Consider the following 15,420-nt stretch of genomic DNA (forward strand, 5'->3'; position numbering starts at 1 on the left):
TTCACCAGTTTTTAACCCATCATATGTTTGGGTTTCTTCTCCCCAGTCCCTGACTCCACCTCTTCTGCCACAAACGTCAGCATGGTGGTATCAGCCGGCCCTTGGTCCAGCGAGAAGGCAGAGATGAACATTCTAGAAATCAACGAGAAATTGCGCCCCCAGTTGGCAGAGAACAAACAGCAGTTCAGAAACCTCAAAGAGAGATGTTTTCTAACTCAACTGGCCGGCTTCCTGGCCAACCGACAGAAGAAATACAGTAAGATCTATAGGCTCACCATCATGAAAGTGATGAATGATGTCCTGTCTTCTCTCTGAGACACTAAATGCTCTCTCCATCAAAAATAATTTCATCCTTCCTGTACTTCTAGGAAAACAGAAATGGGTATTTTAACATTTTGTTAAAGTTGGAAGACAGAGGTACCAAAGTATTTAGCAACTTTCCATGTTTGCAGTCAGATGGGGGTGGGACTAGAGTTAAACTCACAGTTACTGATTTCTGACACAGGCACAGAATGACCTGTTTTCTCCAAGAGGCTCAATCGTGTTTTCAAGAATCCTCTCTGTACCATATAAGATCCTGCAGACAAATAACATCTAGTCTGTTGTTCTAAATGTCTAGGACTAGTGAACTTTTATTCAGTTCAAGTTTCTGTTGAGGCCCAACAGGCAAAGCTCTGTTCTAGTGACTCTGAGGGGAACTTGGTGATAGTACCCAGTACCTGCTCTGAGGGGCTTCAAGAGGAGTCTGCTCCTAATAGAACCTGTGCTATCTATAAGTGACAGCATCAAGAGCAGGGAGTAGGGGCCGTGCAGCATGGCTCACTCCTGTAATCTCAGCACTTTGGGAGGCTGAGGCGGGCAGAGCACGAGGTCAGCAGTTTGAGACTAGCCTGGGCAACATGGAGAAACCCCATCTCCACTAAAAATACAAAAAGTAGATGGGCGTCGTGGCGGGCAACTGTAATCACCACTAATCGGGTGGCTGAGGCAGAAGAAGCCTTTGAACCCAGCAGGCAGGTGTTGCAGTGAGCCAAGATTGCACTATTGCACTCCAGCATGGGTGACAGGGCAAGACTCGTCAAAAAACAAACAAACAAAAGGATAAATAAATCAAAAATAAAAATAAAAAGCAGAGAGTACCTTGGTGAGAGTGAAGTCCTGCTTCCTGGTGCACAGGCTCTTGTTCCTAAAGAGGAAGAAAGATCACACCCGAGAATGTGTGGAAGCAGCAGTGCAGTGTGCAAAGCAGGGACCCTCAGCCTGTCTCCTGGGCTCCATCCAAGTTGCTTGTCTTGTCTGTCCCTCAGTTTCCTCATCTGTTCAGAGGGTACTACAATAATACCTACCTCTGTAAATTGCTGCAATGAATTACATGAGGTATTTCCTGTCAATCTCCTTGAACATTAATTGGCACAGTGTAAACACTATTAGTTCTTCATTCTGATGTTTCTAAATTAACACAAACTAATCTTATACTGTTTCTAAATTAACACAACTAATCTAAATCTTAATGCTGCCTCTCATACTAATAAAGTATTTGGGCATATTTCCTTCATGGCCTTATTTTCTTATGTCTCACACTTTATGCTTCAGATATGATTCTTAAAACCATATCTGAATATTGATTTAAAAATGAAATATTTTTAAAGTCCTTGACATATTTGTCCTTGAAATACCCAGTAAAAGGGAAACCATCAGTCCCATAGTCCTAGGGGCCTTCCCGACTGTACAAGAAATCACTACTTCATGCCCCAGTGCAGTGTTTTAGAGGAGAGGCTGCAAGGCTTGGGAAAGTGGCCCCGCATTCAGAGTCAGACCTCAGGGGCTGTGAGTTCTGACTCCACTTCGTGGTGGTTGAATCATCTTGTCAACTTCCTTGATGTGCTCTTGAGTTTCTCTTTCTTCGTCTTTAAATTTTGGAGGATCAGATGCCAGAAAGTCAGGAGACTGAAGAGTAAAGATGTGGAAATCCCTGTCTAGACCCTGGTACTGGGGAGAGTTTTGTCCTTGGGATGGACCTGGCTCCTGCCCTGTAGGCAGTGACCACAGCAGCATGTCCAGCCTTCCACTGAGGCAGGCGTGTCTGTCTTTTTCTCAGAGTATGAAGAGTGTAAAGACCTCATAAAATTTATGCTGAGGAATGAGCGACAGTTCAAGGAGGAGAAGCTTGCAGAGCAGCTGAAACAAGCTGAGGAGCTCAGGTGAGGGGACCCCATGGGGGGAGGCAGGCGGGTAGGTGTGTAGATCTCTGAAGTACAGCAGCTCGGCGGGGAGAAGTAAGAACGAAGCTGGGCCAGGGAAAGGGCAGAAATTGCCATGGCAGGCTCATGACACACAAATATTTATCAGAGAACAAGGATAATAATAAGTTCTGTGTTGCAGTTGTTTCTTAGAGCCTTGTTTTCTCTTTTTCAAACAAGTAATTGTTGAGGTGAAATTTACATAACACAAAATTCACCAAAGGAGTGGGAACCACCTAGCAGCATTCAGTATACTCAAAATGGTGTGCTATTGCCACCCCACTTACCCTTAGTGAGAATCACCTTCTGACTGACTGCGTCTTCTCATTCTTTCACTCAATCAATGTTGCCTTCTTGACCCTGTCATTCTTTTCTTCTTTCATCTTTTCAATTCGCCCCATCTGCACCTGGCCTCATTTCTGTACATGGCTTTGTATCTAGTGGCCGCAAGATGCACTATGTGTATTTTCACATGGAAATGTCCATGGCCAGAGTGAGGAACTGAAAGGATGTCTTTTTGAAACGGAATTAGGAAGACACCTACCTTTGTTTACAGAAGAGAAAGATGAATGGAACATCATCGAGGATCTTGCAGGAGCCCTCTCTGATAGAGGGAAAGCCTGTAGACCATTTTCTGTTCTTTCTCTTGGCCACAGACATTCCTTTCAACATGTGCTGACCTTCTGCTTGAAGGTCTCCTTGAGAACATTGTCTCAGAAATCTCTGTTGCAATATTTGAACGGATCACTCAACGCTTTTCACTGTTAAATTTTCTCTACCGTCTCACCTTAGGCAATATAAAGTCCTGGTTCACTCTCAGGAACGAGAGCTGACCCAGTTAAGGGAGAAGTTACGGGAAGGGAGAGATGCCTCCCGCTCATTGAATGAGCATCTCCAGGCCCTCCTCACTCCGGATGAGCCGGACAAGTCCCAGGGGCAGGACCTCCAAGAACAGCTGGCTGAGGGGTGTAGACTGGCACAGCAACTTGTCCAAAAGCTCAGCCCAGGTAAGGTGGCCATAGGCCCTGATGACCCAAAACCCCAGGCTTATGAGAGGCTCCAGACCTCCATACTTTCATGATGACAGTTGTATCAGTGGGGTTTTTTTCTACTACACATATGTGGCCATGACATGATCAGGACTTCCTGGGTAAGAACAGAAATGGGAAACCCATGGGTTTGGAGGTCCCAGTATTGCAAGTGTCCCTCCTTCCTTGATGGAAGGTGGTCTTTGGAGCAAAAGGCAGCATCTATCTAGTTTTAAAGGACAGGAAGGAGGCTGTGATGGGAGGGCGCTTGTTGGAGTGAAAAGAGCTCTGGGCTAAGAATGAAGGTTCCCAGGCTGTCTTTTTGGCAATGTTCTTAGTGTCGGTGAGTGAGTGATTTATCTTTCCAGAGTTTCTCTCTCTCCATCTGCAAAGGCAGACAAATTGTTTCTTGCAAGGGTCTGAAGCATCCAAATATGGGAACACTTACGAATGCTTTTCAAAATGAGATGAAGCCCCTCTCCATGTGGTGTTGGAGAAGGCACTTGATGTGGGGGCATTTGGTGGTAGGAAGTGCTTCACACTGGAGCACTCCCCATGGATAGAATGTCCCTGAATAACACAGCAGAAGCCACATGGAGGGCCTGTGCAGTCTCATGACGAATAGAGGACTGTGGGACAAGTTTGTCCTCTCCTAAGAGAAAGAATGAGGTTTGAAATGCGAACTGTGACAGGACACCAAGCCTGTTCCTGGGAATCAGATCTGTGGCAGGATGGGGGAGACAGCTGCCAAAGTCCAGAGAGAGGCTGCACAAGCCTTCAGTGATATGGGAAGCAAAAGGTCTTTTCAGTATTTGGCCACATCTTGATGGTGGCCCTCCACATCAGAAATGCATTGCCTGATGGACCAGGAAACCATGCCAGAGCATTTTGTGAAGGATAAAACATGAGAGTTTTCAGTACAATGCTGAACCATACATAGATGTTCATGTCTCTGTGCACGTTGGGCTGACTGTGCTTGCAGAATGTGAAGTGGGACATATCTGAATGAACATTTTGTATTTATAGAAAATGATGAAGATGAGGATGAAGATGTTCAAGTTGAGGAGGATGAGAAAGTACTGGAATCATCTGCCCCCAGGTAACACTGAATACTCAGGAGCAAGTAATGGGTGGTAACATATGAAAATGTCTAGAAGGCACACCCTCTCTGGCATCTATGGTGGGCCAAAAGCCCGCATTCCCTTGGCCACAGTATGTGAAATTCAACCCAGCTTAGACACAGGGTGCGACAGCTGTCATGTTTCTCTATGTGTGCCAAGTGTCATGTCTGTACCATACAGGGATAGCTGAGTCTTCATCCTCCTCAGCTCCTATCTGTCCAGTGCACTGAACACCAGCTGCTCTCTTCCTCTCTGGCTCCCATGGCAGCCATGCTCTGTTGCAGAGAGAAGAGGATTGCCTGTTCCCTCTTTAAGGGAACCTCCATTTTGCTTTCTGGGACCACTCTCTTAATGCCGCCTGTCAAAACCAGCTAGGACTCCCTGGGGTCCAATCCCTCTGTGTTTAATCTTCTGTCATCTCTGTCCCACCTGGCTCATCAGGGAGGTGCAGAAGGCTGAAGAGAGCAAAGTCCCTGAGGACTCACTGGAGGAATGTGCCATCACTTGTTCAAATAGCCACGGCCCTTGTGACTCCATCCAGCCTCACAAGAACATCAAAATCACATTTGAGGAAGACAAAGTCAACTCAACTGTGGTTGTAGACAGAAAATCCTCTCATGATGAATGTCAGGATGCTCTAAACATTCTCCCAGGTAGCCTCTATTTTCCTTGTGTCTCATACCTCTGTCTAGGCTATGGAAGATCAATTCTGAGGACAGGCTGTATATACACATATTGTTATTGTTTTAGTCAGAAACTAGGATGGAGCTAGGTGCTGTGACTCACACATATAATCACAGCACTTTGGAAGGCCCAAGTGGGAGGATGACTTGAGTTCAGGAGTTGAAGACCAGCCTGGAGTATATGGTGAAACCCATCTTTACGAAGAATACAAAAAATTAGGCAGTCATGGTGCTGCGTGCCTATAGTCCCAACTGCTCAGGAGACTTAGGTGGGAGGATGGGCTGAGATGATCCTCCCACCCTCATTCACTTCTGTCAGGCTAGACTCTCTTTTTCATTGGCTTGTCTTAGCTATTAATAAGTCTTGGCTGGGCACAGTGGGTTCCACCTGTAATCCCAGCACTTTGGGAGGCCGAGGCGGGTGGATCACGAGGTCAGGAGATTGAGACCATCCTGGCTAACACGGTGAAACCCCGTCTTTACTAAAAATACAAAAAAAAAAAAAAAATTAGCTGGGCGCGGTGGTGGGCACCTGTAGTCCCAGCTACTCAGGAGGCTGAGGCAGGAGAATGGCATGAACCCAGGAACCGGATCTTGCAGTGAGCCGAGATTGTGGCACTGCACTCCAGCCTGGGAGACAGAGCGAGACTGCATCTCAAAAAAAAAAAAAAAAAAAAAAAAAAAAAGTCTCTGACCAGGGGCGCTGGCTCACATCTTAATCCCAGCACTTTGAGAGGCCGAGGTGGGCGGAACACCTGAGCTCAGGAGATCGAAACCAGCCTGTCCAAGATGGCGAAACCCCATCTCTACTAAAAATACAAAAATTAGCTGTCATGTTACTTGGCGCTTGTAATCCCAGATGCTTGGCAGGCTGAGTGATGAGAATCGCTTGAACCCGGGAGGCAGAGGTGGCAGTGAGCTGAGATTGTGCCTCTGCACTGCAGCCTGCGCGACAGAGTGAGACTCCGTCTCAAACAGAAAACAAAAAACCAAAAAAGAAAAAAATTAAAAAAGCAAAATGAAATCTTTTGTGCTACACAGAAACATTGGCCACTCATGGGATAAAAATCTCAGGGCCAAGCCTTGCTTTATAGAAACGTATAAGCAAGAAAAGTGTAGAAGTGTTTATGTCCTGCTTTAAAGGTGACTGCATAGCTAAGACAAGTTGACTTAAAGGAGATCAAGACTGGAGATGACAAGAGTGAAACCAGGGAAACATCATCTTCGAATAAGTACACAAGGCTGCCAGTGACATCCCTCAGTCCTGATTAAGCCTACTTGATTTCACCAGTTTTTAACCCATCATGTGTTTGCCTTTCTTCTCCCCAGTCCCTGGCCCCACCTCTTCTGCCACAAACGTCAGCATGGTGGTATCAGCCGGCCCTTTGTCCAGCGAGAAGGCAGAGATGAACATTCTAGAAATCAATGAGAAGTTGCGCCCCCAGCTGGCAGAGAAGAAACAGCAGTTCAGAAGCCTCAAAGAGAAATGTTTTGTAACTCAACTGGCCGGCTTCCTGGCCAAGCAGCAGAACAAATACAGTAAGATCTACAGGCTCACCATCACGAAAGTGATGAACAACGTCCTGTCTTCTCTCTGAGAAACTAAGTGCTCTCTCCATCAAAAATAATGTCATCCTCCCCATACTTCTAGGAAAACAGAAATGGGTATTTTAACATTTTGTTAAAGTTGGAAGACAGAGGTACCAAAGTATTTAGCAACTTTCCATGTTTGCAATCAGGTGGGGGTGGGACTAGAGTTAAACTGCCATTTATTGATTTCTGACACCGGCACAGAATGACCTGTTTTCTCCAAGAGGCTCAATCGTGTTTTCAAGAATCCTCTCTGTGCCACATAAGATCCTGCAGACAAATAACATCTAGTCTGTTGTTCTAAATATCTGAGACTAGTGAACTTTTATTCAGTCCAAGTTTCTGTTGAGGCCCAATACGCAAAGCTCTGTTCTAGTGACTCTGAGGGAAACTTGGTGATAGTAGCCAGTACCCGCTCTGAGGGGCTTCAAGAGGAGTCTGCTCCTAATAGAACCTGTGCTATCTATAAGTGACAGCATCAAGAGCAGGGAGTAGGGGCCGTGCATGGTGGCTCACTCCTGTAATCCCAGCCCTTTGGGAGGCTGAGGCGAGTAGAGCACGAGGTCAGGAGTTTGAGACCAGCCTGGGCAACATGGAGAAACCCCATCTCCACTAAAAATACAAAAAGTAGATGGGCGTGGTGGCAGGTGACTGTAATCACTCCTGCTCAGGAGGCTGAGGCAGTAGAATCCTTTGAACCCAGGAGGCTGAGGTTGCAGTGAGCCAAGATTTTGCCATTGCACTCCAGCCTGGGTGACAGGGCAAGACTGTTAAAAAAAAATAATAATGATAAATAAAAATAAGAATAAAAAGCAGAGAGTAGCTTGGTGAGAGTGAAGTCCTGCTTCCTGGGGCACAGAGTCTTGTTCCTAAAGAGGAAGAAAGATCGCACCCGAGAATGTGTGGAGGTAGCAGTGCAGTGTACAGAGCAGGGACCGTGGGCCTGTCTCCTGGGCTCCATCCAAGGTGCTTGTCTTGTCTGTCCCTCAGTTTCCTCACCTGTTCAGAGGGTACTACAATAATACCTACCTCTGTAAATTGCTACAGTGAATTACATGAGCTATTTCTTGTCAATCTCATAGAACGTTTATTGGCACAGAGTAAACACTATTAGTTCTTCATTCTGTTGTTTCTAAATTAACAGAAACTTCATTAGCATTTGGGCATAGGATTTCCTTCATGGCCTTATGGTGTTATGTGTCACACTTTATGCTTCAGATATGATTCTTAAAATCATAACTGAAGATATGATTAAAAAATCAAAGATTTTTAAAATCTTTCACATACTTGTCCTTGAAATTCCCAGTAAAAGGGAAACCATCAGTCCCATAGTCCTAGGGGCCTTCCCGACTGTACAAGAAATCACTACTTCATGCCCCAGTGCAGTGTTTTAGAGGAGAGGCTGCAAGTCTTGGGAAAGTGGCCCCGAATTCAGAGTCAGACCTCAGGGACTGTGAATTCTGACTCCACTTCGTTGTGGTTGAATCATCTTGTCAACTTCCTTGATGTGCCCTTGAGGTTCTCTTTCTTCATCTCTAAATTTTGGAGGATCAGATGCCAGAAAGTCAGGAGACTGAAGAGTAAAGACGTGGAAATCCCTGTCTAGACCCTGGTACTGTGGAGAGTTTTGTCCTTGGGATGGACCTGGCTCCTGCCCTGTAGGCAATGACCACAGCAGCATGTCCAGCCTTCCACTGATGCAGGCGTGTCTGTCTTTTCTCAGAATATGAAGAGTGCAAAGACCTCATAAAATCTATGCTGAGGAATGAGCTACAGTTCAAGGAGGAGAAGCTTGCAGAGCAGCTGAAGCAAGCTGAGGAGCTCAGGTGAGGGGACCCCATGGGGGCAGGCAGGGGGGCAGGTGTGTAAATCTCTGAAGTACAACAGCTCGGTGGGGAGACTTAAGAGCTAAGCTGGGCCAGGGGAAGGGCAGGAATTGCCATGGCAGGCTCGCTACACACAAATATTTATCAAACAGAGAAGAAGGATAATAAAAATTTATGGGTTGCAGTTGTTTCTCAGAGCCTTGTTTTCTCTTTTTCAAACAAGTAATTGTTGATGTGAAATTTACATAACACAAAATTAACCAAAGGAGTGTGAACCACACAGCAGCATTCAGTATACTCAAAATGGTGTGCCATCACGACCCCACTTACCCTTAGTGAGAATCACCTCCTGACTGACTGCGGCTTCTCATTCTTTCACTCAATGTTGCCTTCTCGACCCTGTCATTCTTTTCTTCTTTCATCTTTTCAATTCACCCCATCTGCATCTGGCCTCATTTCTGTACATGGCTTTGTGTCTAGTGGCCGCAAGATGCACTATGTGTATTTTCACATGGAAATGTCCATGGCCAGAGTGAGGAACTGAAAGGATGTCTTTTTGAAACGGAATTAGGAAGACACCTACTTTTGTTTACAGAAGGGAAAGATGAATGGAACATCATCGAGGATCTTGCAGGAGCCCTCTCTGATACAGAGGAAGCCTGTAAACCATTTTCTCTTCTTTCTCTTGGCCACAGTCATTCCTTTCAACATGTGCTGACCTTCTGCTTGGAGGTCTCCTTGAGGACATTGTCTCAGAAATCTCTGTTGCAATATTTGAACGGATCACTCAACCCTTTCCACTCTTAAATTTTCTCTACCGTCTCACCTTAGGCAATATAAAGTCCTGGTTCACTCTCAGGAACGAGAGCTGACCCAGTTAAGGGAGAAGTTACGGGAAGGGAGAGATGCCTCCCGCTCATTGAATGAGCATCTCCAGGCCCTCCTCACTCCGGATGAGCCGGACAAGTCCCAGGGGCAGGACCTCCAAGAACAGCTGGCTGAGGGGTGTAGACTGGCACAGCACCTTGTCCAAAAGCTCAGCCCAGGTAAGGTGGCCACAGGCCCTGATGACCCAAAACCCCAGGCTTATGAGAGGCTCCAGACCTCCATACTTTCACAATGACAGTTGTATCAGTGGGGTTTTTTTCTACTACACATGTGTGGCCATGACATGACCAGGACTTCCTGGGTAAGAACGGAGATGGGAAACCCATGGGTTTGGAGGTCCCAGTATTGCAAGTGTCCCTCCTTCCTTGATGGAAGGTGGTCTTTGGAGCAAGAGGCAGCATCTATCTAGTTTTAAAGGACAGGAAGGAGGCTGTGATGGGAGGGCGCTTGTTGGAGTGAAAAGAGCTCTGGGCTAAGAATGAAGGTTCCCAGGCTTCTTTTTGGCAATGTTCTTAGTAAGTGTCGGTGAGTGAGTGATTTATCTTTCCAGAGTTTCTCTCTCTCCATCTGCAAAGGCAGACAAATTGTCTCTTTCAAGGGTCTGAAGCATCCAAATATGGGAACACTTACGAATGCTTTTCAAAATGAGATGAAGCCCCTCTCGGTGTGGTGTTGGGGAAGGCACTTGATGTGGGGGCATTTGGTGGTAGGAAGTGCTTCAGACTGGAGCACTCCCCATGGATAGAATGTCCCTGAATAACACAGCAGAAGCCACATGGAGGGCCTGTGCAGTCTCATGACGAATAGAGGACTGTGGGACAAGTTTGTCCTCTCCTAAGAGAAAGAATGAGGTTTGAAATGCGAACTGTGACAGGACACCAAGCCTGTTCCTGGGAATCAGATCTGTGGCAGGATGGGGGAGACAGCTGCCAAAGTCCAGAGAGAGGCTGCACAAGCCTCCAGTGATATGGGAAGCAAAAGGTCTTTTCAGTATTTGGCCACATCTTGATGGTGGCCCTCCACATCAGAAATGCATTGCCTGATGGACCAGGAAACCATGCCAGGGCATTTTGTGAAAGATAAAACATGAGAGTTTTCAGTACAATGCTGAACCATACATAGATGTTCATGTCTCTGTGCACGTTGGGCTGACTGTGCTTGCAGAATGTGAAGTGGAAAATATCTGAACGAACATTTTGTATTTATAGAAAATGATGAAGATGAGGATGAAGATGTTCAAGTTGAGGAGGATGAGAAAGTGCTGGAATCATCTTCCCCCAGGTGACACTGAATACTCAGGAGCAAGTAATGGGTGTTAACATATGAAAATGTCTAGGAGGCATGCCCTCTCTGGCATCTATGATGGGCCAAAAGCCCGCATTCCCTTGGCCACAGTATGTGAAATTCAACCCAGCTTAGACACAGGGTGTGGCAGCTGTCGTGTTTCTGTATGTGTGCCAAGTGTCATGTCTGTACCATACAGGGATAGCTGAGTCTTCATCCTCCTCAGCTCCTATTTGTCCAGTGCACTGAACACCAGCTGCTCTCTTCCTCTCTGGCTCCCATGGCAGCCATGCTCTGTTGCAGAGAGAAGAGGATTGCCTGTTCCCTCTTAAAGGGAACCTCCATTTTGCTTTCTGGGACCACTCTCTTAATGCCGCTTGTCAAAACCAGCTAGGACTCCTTGGGGTCCAATCCCTCTGTGTTTAATCTTCTGTCATCTCTGTCCCACCTGGCTCATCAGGGAGATGCAGAAGGCTGAAGAAAGCAAAGTCCCTGAGGACTCACTGGAGGAATGTGCCATCACTTGTTCAAATAGCCACGGCCCTTGTGACTCCAACCAGCCTCACAAGAACATCAAAATCACATTTGAGGAAGACAAAGTCAACTCATCTCTGGTTGTAGACAGAGAATCCTCTCATGATGAATGTCAGGATGCTCTAAACATTCTCCCAGGTAGCCTCTATTTTCCTTGTGTCTCATACCTCTGTCTAGGCTATGGAAGATCAATTCTGAGGACAGGCTGTATATACACATATTGTTATTGTTTTAGTCAGAAACTAGGATGGAACTAGGTGCTGTGACTCACACATATAATCACAGCACTTTGGAAGGCCCAAGTGGGAGGATGACTTGAGTTCAGGAGTTGAAGACCAGCCTGGAGTATATGGTGAAACCCATCTTTACGAAGAATACAAAAAATTAGGCAGTCATGGTGCTGCGTGCCTATAGTCCCAACTGCTCAGGAGACTTAGGTGGGAGGATCGGCTAACACGATCCTCCCACTCTCGTTCACTCCTCTCAGGCTAGACTCTCTCTCCTTTTCATTGGCTTGTCTTAGCTATTAATAAGAAGTCTTGGCCAGGCGCGGTGGCTCACACATGTAATCCCAGCACTTTGGGAGGCCGAGGCGGGTGGATCACGAGGTCAGGAGATTGAGACCATCCTGGCTAACACGGTGAAACCCCATCTTTACTAAAAATACAAAAAAAAAAAAAAATTAGCTGGGCGCGGTGTTGGGTGCCTGTAGTCTCAGCTACTTGGGAGGCTGAGGCAGGAGAATGGCATGAACCCAGGAACCGGATCTTGCAGTGAGCCGAGATTGTGCCACTGCACTCCAGCCTGGGAGACAGAGCGAGACTCCATCTAAAAAAAAAAAAAAAAAGTAAGTCTCTGACCAGGGGCGCTGGCTCACATCTTAATCCCAGCACTTTGGGAGGCGGAGGTAGGTGGAACACCTGAGGTCAGGAGTTCGAAACCAGCCTGTCCAAGTTGGCGAAACCCCATCTCTACTAAAAATACAAAAATTAGCTGTCATGTTACTTGGCGCTTGTAATCCCAGATGCTTGGCAGGCTGAGTGATGAGAATCGCTTGAACCCGGGAGGCAGAGGTGGCAGTGAGCTGAGATTGTGCCTCTGCACTGCAGCCTGCGTGACAGAGTGAGACGCCGTCTCAAACAGAAAACAAAAAACCAAAAAAGAAAAAAATTAAAAAAGCAAAATGAAATCTTTTGTGCTACACAGAAACATTGGCCACTCATGGGGTAAAAATCTCAGGGCCAAGCCTTGCTTTATAGAAACTTATAAGCAAGAAAAGTGTAGAAGTGTTTATGTCCTGGTTTCAAGGTGACTGCATAGCTAAGACAAGTTGACTTAAAGGAGATCAAGACTGGAGATGACAAGGGTGAAACCAGGGAAACAACATCTTCAAATAAGTAGACAAGGCTACCAGTGACATCCCTCAGTCCTGATTAAGCCTATTTCATTTCATCAGTTTTTAACCCATCATGTGTTTGCCTTTCTTCTCCCCAGTCCCTGGCCCCACCTCTTCTGCCACAAACGTCAGCATGGTGGTATCAGCCGGCCCTTTGTCCAGCGAGAAGGCAGAGATGAACATTCTAGAAATCAATGAGAAGTTGCGCCCCCAGCTGGCAGAGAAGAAACAGCAGTTCAGAAGCCTCAAAGAGAAATGTTTTGTAACTCAAGTGGCCTGCTTCCTGGCCAAGCAGCAGAACAAATACAGTAAGATCTATATGCTCACCATCATGAAAGTGATGAACGAAGTCCTGTCTTCTCTCTGAGAAACTAAGTGCTCTCTCCATCAAAAATAATGTCATCCTCCCCATACTTCTAGGAAAACAGAAATGGGTATTTTAACATTTTGTTAAAGTTGGAAGACAGAGGTACCAAAGTATTTAGCAACTTTCCATGTTTGCAATCAGGTGGGGGTGGGACTAGAATTAAACTGCCATTTATTGATTTCTGACACCGGCACAGAATGACCTGTTTTCTCCAAGAGGCTCAATCGTGTTTTCAAGAATCCTCTCTGTACCATATAAGATCCTGCAGACAAATAACATCTAGTCTGTTGTTCTAAATGTCTGAGACTAGTGAACTTTTATTCAGTTCAAGTTTCTGTTGAGGCCCAATACGCAAAGCTCTGTTCTAGTGACTCTGAGGGAAACTTGGTGATAGTAGCCAGTACCCGCTCTGAGGGGCTTCAAGAGGAGTCTGCTCCTAATAGAACCTGTGCTATCTATAAGTGACAGCATCAAGAGCAGGGAGTAGGGGCCGTGCATGGTGGCTCACTCCTGTAATCCCAGCCCTTTGGGAGGCTGAGGCGAGTAGAGCACGAGGTCAGGAGTTTGAGACCAGCCTGGGCAACATGGAGAAACCCCATCTCCACTAAAAATACAAAAAGTAGATGGGCATGGTGGCAGGTGACTGTAATCACCCCTGCTCAGGAGGCTGAGGCAGTAGAATCCTTTGAACCCAGGAGGCTGAGGTTGCAGTGAGCCAAGATTTTGCCGTTGCACTCCAGCCTGGGTGACAGGGCAAGACTGTTAAAAAAAAATAATAATGAGAAATAAAAATAAGAATAAAAAGCAGAGAGTAGCTTGGTGAGAGTGAAGTCCTGCTTCCTGGGGCACAGAGTCTTGTTCCTAAAGAGGAAGAAAGATCGCACCCGAGAATGTGTGGAGGTAGCAGTGCAGTGTACAGAGCAGGGACCATGGGCCTGTCTCCTGGGCTCCATCCAAGTTGCTTGTCTTGTCTGTCCCTCAGTTTCCTCACCTGTTCAGAGGGTACTACAATAATACCTACCTCTGTAAATTGCTGCAATGAATTACATCAGCTATTTCTTGTCAATCTCCTAGAACATTTATTGGCACAGAGTAAACACTATCTATTAGTTCTTCATTCTGCTGTTTCTAAATTAACAGAAACTTCATTAGCATTTGGGCATAGGATTTCCTTCATGGCCTTATGGTGTTATGTGTCACACTTTATGCTTCAGATATGATTCTTAAAATCATAACTGAAGATATGATTAAAAAATCAAAGATTTTTAAAATCTTTCACATACTTGTCCTTGAAATTCCCAGTAAAAGGGAAACCATCAGTCCCATAGTTCTAGGAGCCTTCCTGACTGTACAAGAAATCACTACTTCATGCCCCAGTGCAGTGTTTTAGAGGAGAGGCTGCAAGTCTTGGGAAAGTGGCCCCGAATTCAGAGTCAGACCTCAGGGACTGTGAATTCTGACTCCACTTCGTTGTGGTTGAATCATCTTGTCAACTTCCTTGATGTGCCCTTGAGGTTCTCTTTCTTCATCTCTAAATTTTGGAGGATCAGATGCCAGAAAGTCAGGAGACTGAAGAGTAAAGACGTGGAAATCCCTGTCTAGACCCTGGTACTGTGGAGAGTTTTGTCCTTGGGATGGACCTGGCTCCTGCCCTGTAGGCAATGACCACAGCAGCATGTCCAGCCTTCCACTGATGCAGGCGTGTCTGTCTTTTCTCAGAATATGAAGAGTGCAAAGACCTCCTAAAATCTATGCTGAGGAATGAGCTACAGTTCAAGGAGGAGAAGCTTGCAGAGCAGCTGAAGCAAGCTGAGGAGCTCAGGTGAGGGGACCCCATGGGGGCAGACAGGGGGGCAGGTGTGTAAATCTCTGAAGTACAGTAGCTCAGTGGGGAGACGTAAGAGCTAAGCTGGGCCAGGGGAAGGGCAGGAATTGCCATGGCAGGTTTGCTACACACAAATATTTATCAAACAGAGAAGAAGGATAATAAAAATTTATGGGTTGCAGTTGTTTCTCAGAGCCTTGTTTTCTCTTTTTCAAACAAGTAATTGTTGATGTGAAATTTACATAACACAAAATTAACCAAAGGAGTGTGAACCACACAGCAGCATTCAGTATACTCAAAATGGTGTGCCATCACCATCCCACTTACCCTTAGTGAGAATCACCTCCTGACTGACTGCGGCTTCTCATTCTTTCACTCAATCAATGTTGCCTTCTCGACCCTGTCATTCTTTTCTTCTTTCGTCTTTTCAATTCGCCCTATCTGCATCTGGCCTCATTTCTGTACATGGCTTTGTATCTAATGGCCGCAAGATGCACTATGTGTATTTTCACATGGAAATGTCCATGGCCAGAGTGAGGAACTGAAAGGATGTCTTTTTGAAACGGAATTAGGAAGACACCTACTTTTGTTTACAGAGGGGAAAGATGAATGGAACATCATCGAGGATCTTGCAGGAG

At 46.0% G+C, this 15,420-nt stretch overlaps 1 protein-coding gene across 2 annotated transcripts in view; it reads left to right on the forward strand.

Moving 5' to 3' along the window:
* The window catches only part of NBPF12 (NBPF member 12), a 57,875-nt gene that overhangs the window by 21,739 nt on the left and 20,716 nt on the right, over window positions 1-15,420 (forward strand). For both annotated transcript variants that reach the window (NM_001278141.3, XM_047447088.1), the window contains 12 exons: window positions 47-256; window positions 2,099-2,201; window positions 3,033-3,247; window positions 4,295-4,367; window positions 4,831-5,042; window positions 6,402-6,611; window positions 8,386-8,488; window positions 9,320-9,534; window positions 10,585-10,657; window positions 11,121-11,332; window positions 12,689-12,898; window positions 14,677-14,779. In NM_001278141.3, coding sequence (NP_001265070.1) covers window positions 82-256; window positions 2,099-2,201; window positions 3,033-3,247; window positions 4,295-4,367; window positions 4,831-5,042; window positions 6,402-6,611; window positions 8,386-8,488; window positions 9,320-9,534; window positions 10,585-10,657; window positions 11,121-11,332; window positions 12,689-12,898; window positions 14,677-14,779 — 1,904 coding nt within the window. In that variant the 5' untranslated portion in view covers window positions 47-81. The remainder of the gene's footprint in view (window positions 1-46; window positions 257-2,098; window positions 2,202-3,032; window positions 3,248-4,294; window positions 4,368-4,830; window positions 5,043-6,401; window positions 6,612-8,385; window positions 8,489-9,319; window positions 9,535-10,584; window positions 10,658-11,120; window positions 11,333-12,688; window positions 12,899-14,676; window positions 14,780-15,420) is intronic.

The sequence above is a fragment of the Homo sapiens genome, chromosome 1, assembly GCF_000001405.40.
Source record: "Homo sapiens chromosome 1, GRCh38.p14 Primary Assembly".
In the NCBI taxonomy this organism is placed as follows: domain Eukaryota; kingdom Metazoa; phylum Chordata; class Mammalia; order Primates; family Hominidae; genus Homo; species Homo sapiens.